The sequence below is a fragment of the Homo sapiens genome, chromosome 13 (genome assembly GCF_000001405.40).
Source record: "Homo sapiens chromosome 13, GRCh38.p14 Primary Assembly".
In the NCBI taxonomy this organism is placed as follows: Eukaryota; Metazoa; Chordata; class Mammalia; order Primates; family Hominidae; genus Homo; species Homo sapiens.
Window position 1 is genome coordinate 26374108 of NC_000013.11, and position 18504 is coordinate 26392611.

The 18504-nt window shown below is 36.6% G+C and overlaps 1 protein-coding gene across 5 annotated transcripts in view, besides 1 other annotated feature; it reads left to right on the forward strand.

The window, feature by feature from the left end:
• Window positions 1–18504, forward strand: part of CDK8 (cyclin dependent kinase 8) — a 151110-nt gene that overhangs the window by 119979 nt on the left and 12627 nt on the right. For 3 of the 5 annotated variants that reach the window (XM_047430033.1, NM_001260.3, NM_001318368.2), the window contains 2 exons: window positions 8707–8764; window positions 11104–11235. In XM_047430033.1, the coding sequence (XP_047285989.1) occupies window positions 8707–8764; window positions 11104–11235 (190 nt within the window). Of the gene's footprint in view, window positions 1–8706; window positions 8765–8814; window positions 9878–11103; window positions 11236–18504 lie in introns of those variants that run through there. The other 2 variants (XM_011534865.3, NM_001346501.2) reach the window with 2 other exon arrangements.
• Window positions 4805–5320: an enhancer, noted in NCBI's record as "NANOG hESC enhancer chr13:26953049-26953564 (GRCh37/hg19 assembly coordinates)". NCBI's record gives its function as "activates a minimal SCP1, AML or CMV promoter by ChIP-STARR-seq in primed H9 embryonic stem cells {active_cell/tissue: H9 hESC(primed)}" and the evidence as "EXISTENCE:reporter gene assay evidence [ECO:0000049][PMID:30033119]".

Genomic DNA, 18504 nt, shown 5'->3' on the forward strand with positions numbered 1-18504 from the left:
GGAGAATGGCGTGAACCTGGGAGGCGGAGCTTGCAGTGATCGGAGATCACGCGACTGCACTCCAGCCTGGACAACAGAGCGAGACTCCATCTCAAAAAAAAATTCATGAATAGATTCATGCGATTATGAGAACTTATAAGAATCCAGAAGCTATTTCACAATAAAGAAGGGCCTTGCTCATTATCGTCAGTAAGTAGGGAGAAGAATTTTCTTGCTTTAATTAAATTTTTGTTATTATTACTTGTATATTAAACTATTGTCTAGCCCATGTGGATCACAGTATATTAAATGTATATAAGAAAATTAGCATATTTAGTCCAGCTACAGCAGGTGGTAAATTCCTATTTAAGAACTGACAAATATCACTAAAGATATGATAAATAGGCTGAATATAAAAGCTCTATAAAAACACTCTTATAGTATATGAAATGTAAATACAAGATTTAATAGCAAGAGAAAAGCAATATATTAGGAAAATGGCAAAAATAATTTAATATACCTTTACTATCTAGAATATAATCAACATGAATATATTAGCTTAATAAAAGTCTTGTCAATAAAACAAAACTACAGAGTAAGTCATATGATTACCAATGAAAGGTATGCAAATTAAAATATGTTACATTATATATCAAGCTAATAAAATTATATGATGTAGATATGAGATATACATTGCTTTTGGTTTTACAGATTGATTTTATTATACTTGATGGTGTTATTTCTAGAAATGATAATGTTGAATTCGCAAAATCTGTTAATACGTATCAAGAAACCTTAAAAATGTTTATATTCTTTACCCAGCAATTTTAGGAATTTTTGATAGATGCATGCAGAAATGTTTTCAAGGCATTTTTTTTAAATTTAAGGACCTAGGAACAACCTTAATGTTTAATAGGAAATGAGCTATATAAATTATGGTAAATTCATATCAGAAAAGTAATTTTGTAAAGATTCTATCAGAAGAGTAATTTCCAGATTAAAAATTTTAATGATATAATACTAAATGAGAAGGATGCAAACAATATATTTAGTTTGATGCCTTTTAAATTTTATAAGGAGAAAAAAACCAAAAAGATTACTCCAGAACGTTTAAAGTGATCATTGTTAGTTCAGAGATCATAGATGATTTTGTTTTCATTGTGCTTTTCTTCATTTTATGAATTTTATCCATTGAGCGTGTATTACCTTTGAAGCTTAGAAAACAAAACACGAAAATCTCTTGAAAACCCAAGGTGTACTGTGTTTTGGAGTTGATGAAGAGGAGGATGTTGCCCAGCTTCACTGCCTGCTCACTGTCCAGGCTTGCCAAAAGATAGCCTATCACTCTTAAGATACAGACACCCTTTTATATTGCAAATGGAAATGCAAAATGATTCAACACCTGGAGAAGTAAATTTGATGATACATAACAAATCTACCTATGCATATATCTTTCCACACAGTAAATTCTGCTTTTAGCAGTTTGTCCTAAAAATATACCACAACAGTGTAAACATATATGCACAAAGTTCATTGCAGCATTGTTTCTTAATTACAAGATATTGGAAACCACTTAAGCAGGCAAGCATATGACACTGAGTAAACTATGACATAAAATATGCACACAATGGAGCATCTATGGCTGTAGAACAGAATGAAGATGTCTGTAAACTGATAAAATATGATTTATAGGAGATACTATTACATTTAAAAAGTTTTTAAAAGTCCAGTTTTAGAACAATAAATCTGTTAGCATGATTTGATCTGATAATTCTACTTTTGAGATTTTATCCCAAGGAAATTATATGGTGCATGTATCAGGGCTTTGGGGGATGGGCGAGGAGCATAATTTTACACTGGCAATGGGAACATCGTTAGGGTTACTGCCAAAAAAGTAGGGGGTGGGAGTGGCATAACCAAGTGTCTGTTAATAGAAGAATACAGTATAGTTAGTAAAAGTAATACACAAACATCTAGATTTGTCAAGGAAGTAATACTTGGGAAGATAGTAGACAAAGCAAAGTTAGTTTTGTTATACCACCAAATCTATAAATTAACATCGTTTAGAATAATAATTGGAATTAGAGTGATTTTCAGATTTCAATGTAAGCTAGGTTCGCTTTTTTAATACATCAAGTTAAATTAATAATAATGAAAGAAAGGAACTATTTTGAAAGCTAAAAGTTTTCGATACTGTCTCTGTGCCTTGATACTTCTCCTTTAAGATGCATTTGGTCTCCTTGATGTTATTCAGCCTTCTAGTCTTCAGCTTAGTTATCTCTTCTTTCTTACTTGACTCATTAGAATTTGTTTAAACTGTTATAAAATTTTACAGCTTTTCAAAAATGCAATTAATCAGATTTGAAAAAAATCCATTTCCATCTATTAAAAAATATATACACATGTTAATATGTGTACACATTCTTTATTAGAAGTAAGTTGTATCTGTGCCCAGCAATTGAAAAGTGTGTTTTCTCTTGCCATGCAGTTTTTGTACTGTACATCCATGTTGCATTTTTAAGGAAGTAATATTGCCTGTGCTAGGCTCTGCTACAGGAAGTAAATGATCTTTGTGTCAGTGAAAATAGAAGGTTCTATCCCATATTGATCTCTTAGCACTTAAACTAGTGTGCTATGCCTCAGTTGCCTAAAATAGGCAGCTTAAGAATTTTGTAATTTAAAAACTCAAAACCCCATAGTATCTGCAGAAAAAAAAGAAAAAACCCTTGGGTTTTAAGGATACTAATTTAAAGCTAATCTGAACAATGTTTATTATTTTAAATATGTTTGATGATAGACCATTGACGAAAGACCATTTTAGTTTAACTTGGTATTAATAGAAATAGACGAAAGCAAAAGGTAGGGTTAGTAGAATGGATTAGAGAAAAATAAGAGGGAATTATAAAAAGAAAATGTCATCTTTTATTAGCACTATTACTCTTGTGAAGTTAGTCCTTGTTTTATAAAATATTTTGATTTGCATTGAAGATGACAGTCAAATAACTTTCATTCCCCCTGAAAGGGGACTTCTTAAGTAAGTCAGAAACTAGTTAATATCCCTATGATTTTTGAGTACTGCCAGTGTGTGGCACATTCTGAGTGCTCCCTTTATCCCCCAACAGGGGGTGCAGCCCCAGCTCTGTGGCTTTTGCATGCAGGATCTCAGTGAGTCCTGAAGGCACTCTGTTCCTCAGATGCCAGGCAGCCACATCTGTGAAGCTCTCCCATTCCTGAATTTATCTCACCCATTTAGCCTAGACTATGACCTCTTAGAGGGCAGGAACTGTTTGTTTGTGTCTCTGTTGATCCTCAGTGCCTCTTAATTCAGTGAACATAAGAATGAATGTATAGTACTTGAACTGTTTACTATAGAGAATGAAGTTAGGTGTTTATAAGTAACATACATGTTGTTTTTATCAGGAAACAGAATTGGTTAAGAATTCTATGCTTTTTTTTCAAATTTAAACAGAGGAAGGCAAGAAACAACTTTACTAGAAGTGGGTAATTTCTCCTTGAGCTTAAGGTGTTCAGCAGTACTAGTGGAGTAAACTTCAGTATTAGAGGTAAAAAATTCATACCCCTGAAAAAAAGAGGAAAAACTGTATTATAAAGATTTCATCACTGGATTTCCAGGTTTATCTCTATCACTTAACTCTTTAGAAGATTACAGTAAAACAGTTTGTAAAACTTACTGAGTATGTGTCTATTTAAGACTTTGCTGCCTGCTTTTGAATCTCATAGGACTTTTGAAATGTGAGATATGTGTCAGTCCCTTCAGTGTGTATTATACAAAATAATCATAGAGTAACTAGAAAGTTTACCACCAGGCTGTGTTATTTACACATTTGTGGAAGTTTAATTCTGGACAAATGACAGAGAAAAGCACTGACAATATAGTTTCTTATGGATCATTGTCTTCTTTTAATAGAGAGATCCATCAAGAATCAACTTTTCCTGTTGACTCAAAATCTCCAATTTGCCTTGATACATTAGTAAATATCTGAAGACTTCATTTCACCCCTGGAATAAAGTTATTGCCGTTAACTTGGCAGATGTGCCACCATTCTCCACTTCCTATGTCGGATAGCTCTGATAAATGCTGCATTTTCTTCATCAACCCAGTTCTTGTCTTTTTCAAGATAGAGCTTTTTGAATTCTTTATTTTTCCATCAGAGTTGGCTCCTAAAACGAAACCAATTTGCTATCCTTGGTGTATGCCAAAATCATTGGTGCACTCTCCTCCAGCATGACATGCTGGAGAACAGAAAGCTTCTGCCAGAATGGTTGTCTCTGCAATACAAACATCTGCTTTAGGAAATATCAATGAGTTTTTTGGGAGTGCAGCAGCAAAAAGAAGAAGAAAAGCCTGGGAGAAATAAAACAACAATTAGATAAGGGAACCCATTGCTTCAAACAGTAGTATCTCATAGATTTATATCATTTTTCAGATGGCAATCAAGGATGATCTATCATTATTTCTGTGCATGGCTTTGCTATACTTGAAGATGTTGCCATGATATTATAATTTAAGTCATGTAGGATTTCTGATCTCCATGGCAACAAATACAGTTTAATGGAGTATATGCCTCATCAGAATGTCACCAGCAAAGTTCTATATGTTCTTTTAAGGTGATTATGTTTGATAGCATATAAAAGATCAGAGATTATTTACCAAAGTTACCTCTAATCACTTCATGTAAAGTTTTGGTGCTAGAGCTTAAAAACTGCTACCAAATTCTGCTACTGATAGACGAGGAAGAAAAGGAAAGAAGTATATATCAAGAAATTAGTTTTTTGGGCGAGTAGAATATTGTTTCAACATTGCATTAAGTACTAAAACAAAAATTATTCATCAAGTCTTTTGAAGTCTTCCTTAATACTGATTAAACAACAAAACAGAACCCATGACAAGAGTAGTCATCATTAGGGCCTTTCCTGTGTTTTTCTCTTAAGATTCCCATTAGATTACATTCAGAAAAGAAGAAATTTAGAGTTTGATTTGTCTACTAAATCATACTGTCTTTCCCTGGGGCATATGTAGTGTTAATGGAAAGTAACATGAGGAGGGACCCATCATTTCTAAATAGTGCTATTACAACAGCACTTAAGACCATTGTCTTTTGTTTCTGGCTGTAGCATGCCCAAACGGAATCTGAATTCACTAAAGAGAGAGTGTTGGGATAAAAGTGAGATGCTGGTAAGGTGGAATCTGCTTCAGATGGTGCAGTAGGCAGTGAGTTACCTAGCAAAGTAATTTTTTAATTATTAACTGGAGCTTGGGCCCCAAACTCTAATACTAGGTCGGACCTTGACAAAGATACTATTTATCCCCCCACCAGTGGTCAAACTTAGATTTAGAACTCGACCAGTTCAGTAAGTCTAGAATAAAAGAAACCTGAAATGAAAAGCAAGAGAGGGATTTTCCCCTTCTTCAAGTGCCAAGCCAATACCATCCATCCCAGGGCTTTTCAGATCTGTGTCCCAGCTGCTGAATGAGTAAGAAAGTGTGTTTAAAAAGAGGGAAGGAGAAAAAAAGATGGTGTGAGAGTGAGATCTTTTCCACTCCATCTCAGATAGACAGAGGAGAGACATGTGCATGTATTCGTTGTGCTTTTGCCAGATACGGAGAGAATCTTTTAGGATTGAACACTCCGGTGTTAGAAAAATCAGTCACAGCAATCTAACTAATCAACTTGTACCTCTGGAGAAGGTAGTGGGATTTGGGGTAGGGTAAAGGAGGGATGGGTGGTAAAAGGGACTTTTAACTGTGTGCAGCTTTATAGTTCGAATTGTTTAATTGAGAAAATGTTTGTGTATTACTTCTGTCATTAAGGGAGAGGGGGAAAATCCAATTTTAGATCAGAAGAAAGGTCAGGGACAGAAAATGGCATAGCGATGACATAGTTGTGAAAGGTTGCAGTCTATTCAAAGAATGGCGAAAACATGAAAACATGCATGCAGCAGGAGCAGTGGGATGCAGGGGAAGGCAGGGCTGCGGGTGATGGGAAGCAGCCTGCCAGGCGCCTTGCATCCCATCACAAGGACTGGACCTTATGTAGGAGTGGGGGAGGACCAATCAAAGTTAAAGTAGAAGTAGGTGTTCTTTTTTTATAGACTGAGTCTCACTCTGTCACACAGGCTGGAGTGCAATGTCCTGATTTCAGGTCACTGCAACCTCCGCCTCCCAGGTTCAAGTGATTCTCCTGCCTCAGCCTCCTGAGTAGCTGGGATTACAGGCACGCACCACCACGCCCAGCTAATTTTTGTATTTTTTAGTAGAGATAGGGTTTTATCATGTTGTTCAGGCTAGTCTCGAACCCCTGACCTCAGGCGACCCGCCCACCTTGGCTTCTTGAAGTGCTGGGATTACAGGTATGAGCCCCCGTGCCCGGCCTTTTTTTGTATTTGTTTTTTTGAGATAGGGTCTCACTCTGTTGCCCAGGCTGGAGTGCAGTGGCATGATCATGGCTCACTGCGGTCTCCACCTCCCAGGCTCAAGCAATCCTCTCACCTTAGCAGGAACTACAGGCGTGTGTCACCACGCCTGGCTGATTTAAAAAAAAAAAATTTTTTTTGTTGAGGTGGGGTTCTACTGTGTTGCCCAGGCTGGCCTTGAGCTCCTGGACTCTGGCAGCCCTGCTGCCTCATCCTCCCAAAGTGCTGGCATTACAGGCGTGAGCTACTGCACCCAACCAAAATAACATTTTGATAATAGTCATAAAACATAGCGAAAGCCAAGACCCTTTTGAAAAGGTTCATTTATACCTCTATCGCTCTACAGTTTTATTCTTCTAGTCCTTATTCACAGGAACTTTTTTTTAACCTAGTTCTAATCACAATCTATATATCATTTTGTGTTCTGCTGTTTTTACCTAGTCTTCTTGGAATAATTTTCCGTGTGGAAGGTTCTAAGCAAGAGAGTAACATAATCAGATTTGTCTTTTATGAAAATGACCCTGGCAGCAGGACTGAAGATGAATTTGATGGGAAGAGATTCAAAATGGGGTTAAAGAATAGGGAGTGTATTCAACAGGTGTTTAGGGAGTCCTGCTCTGAAGAACCATGAGAGGAGAGTTCTAGCATAAACATGGAAGTTTCTTCCTGAGCCCACATTTTGAATTGGGAGCAATCCTTTAGCAAATAGAAATGCTGCCTAATTCCATTTGGAAAGCCTTTCTCTGCCTTCAGCATTTTGCACTATCTCAGAAATCTGGCTTCTCTCTGAAGTAGGCCGGGCCCTAAGAGACCACAGAGACTAACCAGTCTTGATTGATTACCGTGGTGCATGAAAACAATTTTATTTGTCCTGGGTAGCACCTGTGTGTAGCTCCCAGGGAATACTGTTAGTGTTGTGGTTAGAAGTGCGTGTGTGTGTGGTAGTGATAGAGGTTCTGAGATTTTTTTGTGAATAAAACATCAGTATTATTATTATTATTACAGCAGTGCATATTAATTCCAAAAACTGCTGCATAAAATTACTTTCAGGATGATAAATTAGGAAGGGAGCCCCAGACTATTCAAAGACAGGGTAGACTCTGCTGCTACCCAGTCTTGCTGATTATATTTAGGGCAAGTCATTTAACCTCTCTGGTGCCTAGTGGACTCAACTTTAAAAATTGTAGGAGTTTTTAACCTCTGAGATGTTAGTGCTGCCATTTCAGCAATACCTTTTTTTTTTTGGCTGGGAATAACTATCTTTGGTAGGTGATAGGCTAGTATACTACACATTAAACGTTGGCAGTAATAGCTTAGGGGCCATCACTACATATGGTTAGAGAAGCCTGTGAAATGGTTACCACTATAAACAGGCTTCACTACAATCTTTGATTTTAAAGTGATTTATGTCAGTATCCGAAGAGGTGTTCAATCTAGTTTCACTTTTATTTAGCAGACTGGTAGAATTCAAGTCAAATCAAGTAGATAGCAGGATAGTACAGTGAGTAAGGAGTAAACCAGTTGCCTTTTTCTTCCCCTCTCTGCTTTCTCTCCCCTCATCCCCTCCTTACTCCTTCTGCTCTTCCTTCGCTTTCCTAAAGAAAGGGCAGCCTTTATTCATTAGTGTAGTAGATACCACCATAAAAGACTATAGGTGACAATCAGTATATATTTTAAAGATTTAAAAACTGAAAGCTTTGTAAACTCTTTCTTTAAATTTTAGCTTACTTTTTCACTTAAAAATGAAAATCTTAAAACTGTTCCTGTCATGAAAAATTCCTATTACTTGACTAACTTGTTTCTAAAGTACTTTATTAAATTTCTCAATAATTCGTTTATTTAAATGTAGGTGCATACTTTGTCATTTCCAAAAAAGGATTTCTGGTGATTCCTTGCCTATAATTAATTTGCTACTTGGTATTAAATCATCTTTCTCGATTCATTTTTCCTTTAAAGTCAGAGCAAGACATTTTATGTACTTGAAAGAGTGAGAAGGAACCACAACATGACTTTGTGAGATGCTTGCCAGTAGTGAAAACAGACTGATAAGAGGGCCAAGAAAAGCCTCAGCCTTCTGTGGAGAAAAGCACTGCCATATCTGGGCCTTCATGAAATTTGCATACCGCTTTGCATATATACATGCACAGTTTCTTTGGTGACTTCCTGTATTTGGTTTTAATTTTTGAATAAATGAGATTTTTTAAAAGGTGGATTTGTGTTATATTGGCATATTGTCTATTTAAAAGAAACCACTACTGTCTACTGAAAAAAAACACTATTTTGTTTCCACAGAAACCTGCTAATATTTTAGTTATGGGTGAAGGTCCTGAGCGAGGAAGAGTAAAAATTGGTATGTTATATCTTTGCTAAGTCACAGTGTAGCACTTTTTTAAAACTTTTGCAGGCAGCTATATCACTTCTAATTTTTGCTATAATATGCATATATTCATGTAGTTCCATATGATCGAAGCCATTTCTAAAGAGTATGCATAAAAGTGAAAAATGTTTCACACTCTTGAAAGGTGTCAGACACTCCTAAAGACTGAAGCATTCTAATTATGAAACCGTGCAAGTTTCCCAGAAACCTCTGCTTTCATTAAAAATGGCCTATAGAGGTGAGGGGCTTCTATCTCTGTTAGAGGCCAGCCTCACCTTTAGTCACAAGGGCATACATACAGCATGCTAATAATTCTACTATCAGTTGTGTTCGCTTGAGTCAGATTAGATGAGCACATATGCCTCTGTTGACCTCGTCTAGATTAGGAGTTGTTAATACAAACTCTAGGGAAAACCATGAGGCTGGATAGATACAGAACCTTAAGTTCTAACAAGACTGTCTCGTAGTAGGCCTTTCCCTGATGGGAAAAAATAATGGGCATTCTGTACATATTTTCTGATAGCTCTATTTTCTTACATATCAAAGCAAAATTTTACCCACTTCTGGTCTGATAATCTGTAAGGATAAAACTAAGTTTATTTAATCTGATTTTTTTTCATTGTCATTTCCAAGTTGTGTTTGTCACATATATTTAGTTTGTTTTGTGTATTTGTAGAAGAAATGTTTAAATTGTATTAATTTAAAGACATCAGGATTGTAACAAAGTTAATAGCAACTTCTGATCACAAGATTTAATATAAATTGGAAGTAACAGCTGATTTGTATCACTTCACCAACAAAGAAACACATGTGTGTTCTTAATCCTAATATTCTTCCTTATAAATCCCCCCAGATCTCACTTTCCACTTCTAATTAGACTCTTAAAATACTCTGTTTTTGATAAAACTTTGCAAATGTTTAGTTATGAGGAAATTTGATGTGCCTTAACATACTCCAAGTTTGGCTTTCCTTGAGAAGCAGAACCTGTCGGCACTCACCCTAGTGCCTTCCAAAATGCCTGTTAAGTCTTTACATGTGCTTTTAAAGGAGTCTCTCCAGTCCATTTTTGCGGCATCAAATTCAAATGTAAGTTCAAAGCATGCAAAATAGAAAAGAGCCAGCCAAACAGTAATTACAAAAGTGTTCTTTACTGTATAATTTAGGGAAAATTTATGTAATACACTAAAACAATCTAGTTTGGAATTATAGTTCTATGTAATATATGTGATGTTGGCAGGTTTGGGGAACGCTACGTCTTAAAGCATTCACATTTAAGAAGAAATACTAGTTCTGTAAATCAGTATTTAGTAATCTTATTCATAGTTTTAATTATTTGCCAACTTTTGGGTTTTTTTTTTTACCTTTGTAATTAAGGTGATTATAGTAAGGCCTACTTCATTAAAAAATGTGTATTAGGAAAATAGAACTAAACTTATCAAATGGTGGGTGAATTTTGAAATTTTTGAATAGGTGGTATGAATAGTGATCATTCAACATGTATTAGGCAAAAGCTATGTGTAATGACAACTGTACATGATACTATTAGGGATAGATATGAAAGAGACGCAATTTTTGCCTTTAAAAGATGATGGTATAGCAGGATAAACAGCCATGCCCGAATAACTACACTACATGTTAAACTGTGTTAAATGCCATGATGAACTGTATCTAATCTCAGTTCTAGCTCTGAGGTATGAGTATGTACCTTTGTCAAATCACCTAACTTCTTGAACCATATTCATCTGGAGAAGGAGGTGATTTAATCAGATGACTTTTAAAGTCTTACCTAGCTTTTAAAAAAAATACTGTGATTCCTTAAAATTAAGTTAGTGAAATTCATCCCAAGTAATAGGGGAAATAATGGTGTTAAAATATTGCATAGTCAGCTTCTGATTAATTATACCAGTGAACAGGCTTGTTGATGGAAATAATGGAAAGCCTTACTCTAACTGATCCCATTTCCTGGTGCTTGTGACCAGTACTAAGAATGGAAATGCAGCTCAACAACCCTGTCCCTAACGGTGGGGTGACACATGGAAAGAAAAATCTGCCCAGAGAAGCAAGGTCACCCCTGACCTCAGGCAGCAGAGCTTGACTATAACCCCATTGAAGAACTGGGTAACAGTAATTTGAAGAGAATGGAGCTTTCAAACTTGCTTTATGTAAGACTTCTAAAATGGATGTTTTGTGGGTTTCTTCCCCTAGAATTGAGCACATTTTTCATCTTACTGAATAAGATGGTAAATTAGACTAATTGGTTAGATTTGTAAAAATCATTTACTTAGCATGATTTTTTTTTTATTATTTTACAGCTGACATGGGCTTTGCCCGATTATTTAATTCACCTTTGAAGCCTTTAGCAGATTTGGATCCAGTGGTTGTTACATTCTGGTACCGAGCCCCTGAACTACTTCTTGGAGCAAGGCATTATACCAAAGCTATTGGTGAGTAGAACTAATTAAAATTCCATGAGTTTTTAAAAGTTTCTTTAAAAGACACACATTCCTATATATTTTTAAATTAAGTAGTATAGCAAATTATAAAAGTAAGAGCAGACTGAGTGTGATGGCTCATGCCTGTAATCCAAGCACTTTGGGAGGCGGAGGCAGCTGGATCACTTGAGTCCAGTAGTTTTGAGACCAGCCTGGGCAAAATAGTGAGACGTTGTCTCTACAAAAATTTTTAAAAATTAGCCGGGCATGGTGGTGTGCACCTGTAGTCCCAGCTACTCGGGAGGCTGAGCTGGGAGGATCGCTTGAGCCTGGTAGGCAAAGGTTGCAATGAGTCATGATCGCACCACTCTACTCCAGCCTAGGCGACGGGGAGACACTGTCTCAAAAAATATAAATAAATAAAAAATAAAAGTAAGAGCAAGGCCTAACCCAACATTCTACTACCTAGAAATACTATCAGTAGCAATAGGGGTATATCATTCCACATACTTCTCTCTGCATAGAAAGATATCAAAAATCTTTGTAATTAAATGGGATCATATTATGCATTCTATTTAAAATTTTATATTTAATTTATAAAACTACAATTTTGAAGTCCTTTAACTTAAGACAAATGTTTCTTTTACCAAAAGAAATACTAACTTCTAAAAGAGCCCCCTAAAATTAAAGGAAAGACATTATGAAAAACAATTTAGCACTTTAGGACATTTTAATCCACTTTTCTGTTTTTGATAATATCAGTTACCTCCCTATTATAAAGAATGAGGAAATTAGTGCTCTTACACTTCTTCCCCTACCAACCTCTCAATCTATAAGCAGAATTAGTAATATCTTCATCACTTTGTCAATGTTGACATTGTTTTGTTTGCTAACCATAGTTCCCACAGTTGTTTATACTTAAGTTGTGCATTTAATGCTCAGCTGCTAGGCCTTTCACCATCGCTTGTCCATTACTCAAACCTGATTCTGCTTCATTCTCTTTGGTTGCATTATCATCAAGTAGTTTTTTTGTGTGTGCTTTACCTTTCTTCTTTTCTTTATTTTGTGTCTTTATGGTTTCCTTAACTTGTTCTGTATCCTCCAGGATGGTATTAAACCCACTTTTCCTTTACTGGGTAACTGCATCCTGAGGTTTTCTATTTTGGATTGGTTGGTCTCCAGGCATATTCTACCACTTCATCCTGCCTTTTCCCTTTTTTATTCCTCTGGGTTAGATCTATTGCTTTCTGGATTTCATGATTTCATTTCTTATTTTGCTACAGTATGTTCTCATGTAAATTCCTTTGGAACTGTATCTTAGAGGTAAATTTTCTAGTTCTTGTATTTCTGAAAAATGCTGGTCGGTATCATACTTGCTAGCTTGCCAGGGTTTACAATTCTAGGTACAAAAGAATTTTCCTCTCAGAACTTGGATGACACCCCTCCATTGCCTTCTAGTGTCAATATTGCTAATGAAGTCTCCTGCCTGTCTTGTTCCCAGTCATTGGTAGATCACCTGGGTTTTTTCTTTCTAGAAACAAAAAGGATTTCTCATCCTTGTATTTCACAGTGATATGCTGACCACTTGGTGGGCACACTCAATCTGAAGTTCATATCTTGTATCTGTGGGAAATTCTCTTGTGTAGTCCTTTGATTTCCTCCTCAATGTTTTCTGTTTCTCTCTTTCCTCAACTCAGTGTCGTCAGATGTTAAATTTCTTGGATTAATCCTTTATACTACTTTTTTCTCATGTTTTTCTGCCTTTGTCATATCCATTTCTAAAAACCTCTTCTTGTTCTCTGATTACTTTTTCATAGTATCTTGTATTTTTTAATAGAAAGAAAAGCCTACTATCTGTGAAGACAATGATAACATTGCTGATTTGTTTGTATTTTGCAGTATTCCCAGAATAATTATCTGTGTTTTCTTTACAGTCACTCTTTTCATTGTATGTTTTGATCTCTCCCTTCCATGTAGCAAGCATTCTTCAACTGTTTGGTGACCCTTGAGTGTCTCTTTGTATTTAAAAATCAGGTTACTAAAACTGCTTGAGAACTTTGTATAAATCATGGGGCTTATAGAGTGAGAACTTTAGGGTGATACAGCAGAGAGCCACCGTTGCCTGGGGTAACCTCTAAATGCCAGAAGGCGCAGGTCTTTCCTCTGAAGCCAAAGTCTTCAGGGAAGAGTCCTCCAACTTTTGGCCCATGCTGTATGTACCTGGCAGCCCCAGGGTGATGATAGAGAGTAGGGAGGAGGATCAGCTCCTCCTGTTCAAATACAGACTTTGTAGCTGGTATTCCCAAGAACAAAATCTTCGCAGCATTGTAGGGGAAAAGTCTGCTTCCCACTCAACAACAGCACTGTGTCCTGAGACCTTCTCTGAACTGTCTTGTCTGCCTTCCATCTTCTAGGTCTCCACATGGCCAGTTTCTTCTTCTCATTCAGACCTTAGTGAAAATAGTACCTTTTCAGAGAGAACTTCCCGGATTACATAGTCTAAAATAGCACCCTACCTCCGCCTTCACACCTTCTTTTACCTTATTGTCTTCATTGACTCAAAGGGTATCTAAACTCCACTAAAACAGGTGTACCTCACCTCACTGTTCACCGTTGTAAACCAGTGCCTACATAGTATGTAGTGAGAACTCAGTTTTCTTTGTTGGATACTTGAATGAATCTTGTCTCTGACAGTCTCCTCCTGTTCTTGTTACTGTGCAGTTACACTTGTATGACTTTGCTGTCAATTAAATGTAGATTCAAGAAGGGAAAAGGAGCAATGTTTGTGATCTTCCCCCATATTAATCTTCAATCCAATATATCATTTCCAAAAATCTTTATGTTCTAATCTTCACACATGCTTTAAGATCACATTTTATTTTACAGAAAAATAAGTCAGTTAGATATGGGAATTCTCTATACTATCTTTGTAACTTTTCTATAAATATAAAATTATTAATACAATATTTAGTTAAGTCAGTTAAAAGGAAAAATAAGGATGATTTATTCTAGTCCTATTTTGGAATACATGTTATTACCTAAATACATATCTGGGTATCTTCTTTGCAAGTGTACTCTAAAGGCATTTAAGGACATATATAAACTAATGTGATACACAGAGATTTTTTTCCACTCAGAAAATGAATGTTTAAAAGCAGTGTTACTTTTGGTAAAGCATATTAACAAACTATACAAATAAGAAAGTGATTGCCTAATCTTATTTCCTATTCACTGAACACCTGAGACTTGAATTTATTTAAATTGAGTAAAAAATATACTATCACAGAAACTTGTGACTCTGGCTCACTGTTTATTATCTTGTTATTTTTCCTGAGAAGCTTATGTCTTATTGGAAACATTAAGATTTATATAACCTTTTACTCACTAGGATATTCTACAGTCTAGCAGTTCTAATGCAGGGAGTGTGCCACAAATCTAAACTACCAGCACTTAGGGAGCTAGATTCTCTTGTCCCAATGGCTGTATGATTTGGGAGAGAGGCCTTTCTTCATATTTTCCTCCCTCCTCCTCCTCACCAACATAAGCATTTATTGGGTAACTACTATGTTAGGAGGACCAAATATGAATTCAAATGATGGGCCTTACCCTGAAGAGATTTACAGTCCAGTTGAGAAGACAGTATGAATATATGCATACAATAATTTAGTCATCTTTGAACAACGGAAGTAACAAAGACTACCAGCCGAAGTTGTAGTCTTACTTCTATCACTCTGGGGTGTGTTTACGCATTTAGTGCTTTAGCCTCAGTTTCTGAAAATGAGAATTTAGCCTGAGTCGTCTCTTTGATCTCTCTAAATTCAAAAGTTCTGTGCTTTTATTTATTTATTTAGAGACAGAGTCTCGCTCTGTCACCCAGGCTGGAGTGCAGTGGTGCAATCTTGGCTCACTGCAACCTCCGCTTCCCAGGTTCAGGCAATTCTGCTTCAGCCTCCCGAGTAGCTGGGGTTACAGGCTTGTGCCACCACACCCAGCTAATTTTTTTATTTTTAGTAGAGACAGGGTTTTGCCATGTTGCCCAGGCTGGTCTCGAACTCCTGACCTCAAGTGATCCGCCTGCCTCGGCCTCCCAAAGTGCTGGGATTACAGGTGTGAGCCACGACACCCAGCCAAAAAGTTTTAAGCTTTTAAATAAAAACAGCTGCCTTCTGAGGCCGGGAAGTTACAGAGGGAACTGACTTGGGTGCAAAGGATTGAAACCAAGGTAAGTGCCATTTTCTCAGCAGTGGTGATTCCAACCCACACCGTCGTCTGGTGTACACCTGCTTGCCCAAGATCAGTCTTGGGGAACACTTTCTTCTATTGAAACATTGATTCAAAATTTATAATATACACAAACCACTTTCAATTTAAGTTTCTAAAAATAAGGTCAGGCACGGTGGCTCACACCTGTAATCCCAGCACTTTGGGAGGCCAAGGTGGGCAGATCACTTGAGGTCAGGGGTTCGAGACCACCCTCACCAACATGGTGAAACTCCGTCTCTACTAAAAATACAAAAATTAGCCAGGCATGGTGGCGGGCACCTGTAATCCCAGCTGCTCAGGAAGCTGAGGCAGGAGAATTGCTTGAACCTGAGAGGCGGAGGTTGCAGTGAGCAGAGATCACGCTACTGCACTTCAGCCTGGGTGGCAGAGCTAGGCTCTGACTCATAAAAAGTAAAAATAAAATAAAAATAAGAAGGAATTACAAAATGGAACCTTTTCTTTAATACCAGCCTCTACCACACAATCCCATTCCTCCTGTCTCCTGCAGAGGTAGCCTAAAGATTAAAATACTCAACAAATTTCTCACACCACCATTAAAGCTGCTTACCAAGAACTTCCCCAGCATTTTGACTTCCTTGTTTGATAGCTGAATTGTGAGCAGGTGATAGAAGAGCCTTTCTAGTTGAACATACAGATAATTTGCTGAATACATTCCATTTAATGAAGGGGTTACATCTGTTACGAAGCTACTAAGAAGGAGCAAAAGCATAGGGAAAAAAATCTGATCAGAACGCATCAAACTCACATATGCCCCATCTACTACAAACAGATTGTAGTGCTGTGCTGGTTTATTCCGTTGTGCAGAACTGCAAGCTGAGTCACTAAACCAAAGAGAGGAAATAATAGGTTAGTAAACATTGTAATCCCAGGAACTAAGTTTAATTCACTTTTGAGTGTTTTGTTTTTTATTTTTGTTTGTCTGATTTACTTTGGGGAAAAGGCTAAAAAAAGGGATATCAATCTCTAATTCAGTGCCACTAAAGTAGTCCTAAAAGTCTTACTGAAGTATGGACTTTTAAGCTCAGGTGTTTGTCCTCAAATAGCTGCATGGCCACTAAATGTGAGGCATTCTGCTAAGTGGGAAATACACATTAAAATAGAGAAAATGAGAATTTCTTCCCTTTTATCAAAACAAGAAGCTTGCTATTACTACACTTGTTGATTCAAATATTATTGAGCAAAGTCTTTTCTCCTCCCAAATTTGGTCTGTATAGCATGCCAATTCCTACTATTTCCTTTGCCTGGTTAGCTCAGTAGCTACCTATAAGCATCACACATTTTGAGAAGTAGATGAAACTTATATGTTTTTAATTTGGAAAGCCATTTTATAAGGAGTTTGGCAGGCAGGTGAACACTAAAGAGACTTTCCATGAATTGGGCACAATCTAAAAAAAAAAAAAAAACAAGGTAGGAAAAAGAAACTTATTTACAATAATTAGAAATTTATCTGCAATAATAGCCTGATCAGCTGACTCAGAGTTAATGATTAATGTATGGGTCAGGATTTTGAAGAAAGGAAGAATGGTAAAATTGACAAAGGTGAGAGAGAATAGCAGTTATAAAGACAGAAGAGTTACTAGATGGGAGGGAGTTAAGCAAGGTTCAATAAGTTATTTTTCCTGTTGACTGGACTTTTTCTTTAAAAAGCAGTGTAGCTTTGCATACATTTTTTCTGTGAAATAGGGTCTTGCTATGTTGTCAAGGCTGGATTCAAACTCCTGGGCTCAAGCGATCCTCCCGCCTCAGCCTCCTGAGTAGCTGGGACTACAGGCATATGCCAGTATGCTCAGCTAAGAGCAGTGTAGCTTTAATTATAGCTAAACTACTTACCTTTCATCTTCCTTTACATATTTTATTTTCTTCTTTGGAATTTTTAATAACTAACCAGATGAATTGTTACAGTGTTTATTGGGTGTGCTGTAAGTAGAATTTTAAACATGCAAAGCCATCCATCATCCCTTTTTGTGATCCTACTTAGCTGCCTATGTGGCCATTGATTATCAAAGGTTAGATTTATAGGGTATACCCATATAAAAAGAATAATCACAAAATAATTAATTTTCCCATATACCTTTCGATGACAAAAACAAAATAGGTTGGCCTATGTTTCTTGATGAGACTTTTCCATATGATGGTATTGGCTAGGCTTGGTTCTCTGATATGTAAATACGATGTCATTTTTTAAAATCACTTGCTGCAGTCAGTGTGAATCTTTAAGTAAATAGGTGATTAACTTGTTACTTTGAAATGTAAATATGTGAAATTTTAGATTAAATTAAATATCTCTATTCCAGTTTTGGAATTTAGGAATTCTCATTTTAGGTTTTTTCTTATTTCCTGTTTAAGTGACAGTTATTAACATATCTGAACAATCAGCTTTGATAAAATAGTAATTTTGATTTGTTCCCTTTGGTTATTTATATTTGTCACAGGTATTGGTTAAGTCAGTCAAAAACCATGTGTTGAGGGTCTGCTATATGCACACCATTGTACTTAGTTTAGGATTTGTTAAGAGTAGAAATGAAATATTTTCAGCTTTAAATTCTAAATTGGCAAATAGATCTTACCTCTACTAATAGTTCTTTTGAGTACAAATTTAATTTGAATGAAAGTAAATCTGTATCTTGTGAATGAAAGGAATTTACTTTGTTGTGTACAGAGAAACCCATTTGCCTGGCTTTTGTCAATAATTCATTTGAATTTATAACCCTTTTTTTTTTTTTTTTTTTTTGAGACGGAGTCTTGCTCTGTCGCCCAGGCAAGAGTGCAGTGGCGCGATCTCGGCTCACTGCAGCCTCTGCCTCCCGGGTTCAAGCAATTCTCCTGCCTCAGCCTCCTGAGTAGCTGGGACTATAGCCGCGTGCCGCCATGCCCAGCTAATTTTTGTATTTTTAGTAGAGACAGGATTTAACTATGTTGGCCAGGCTGGTCTTGATTTCCTGACCTCGTGATCCGTCCTCCTCAGCCTCCCAACATGCTGGGATTATAGGCATGAGC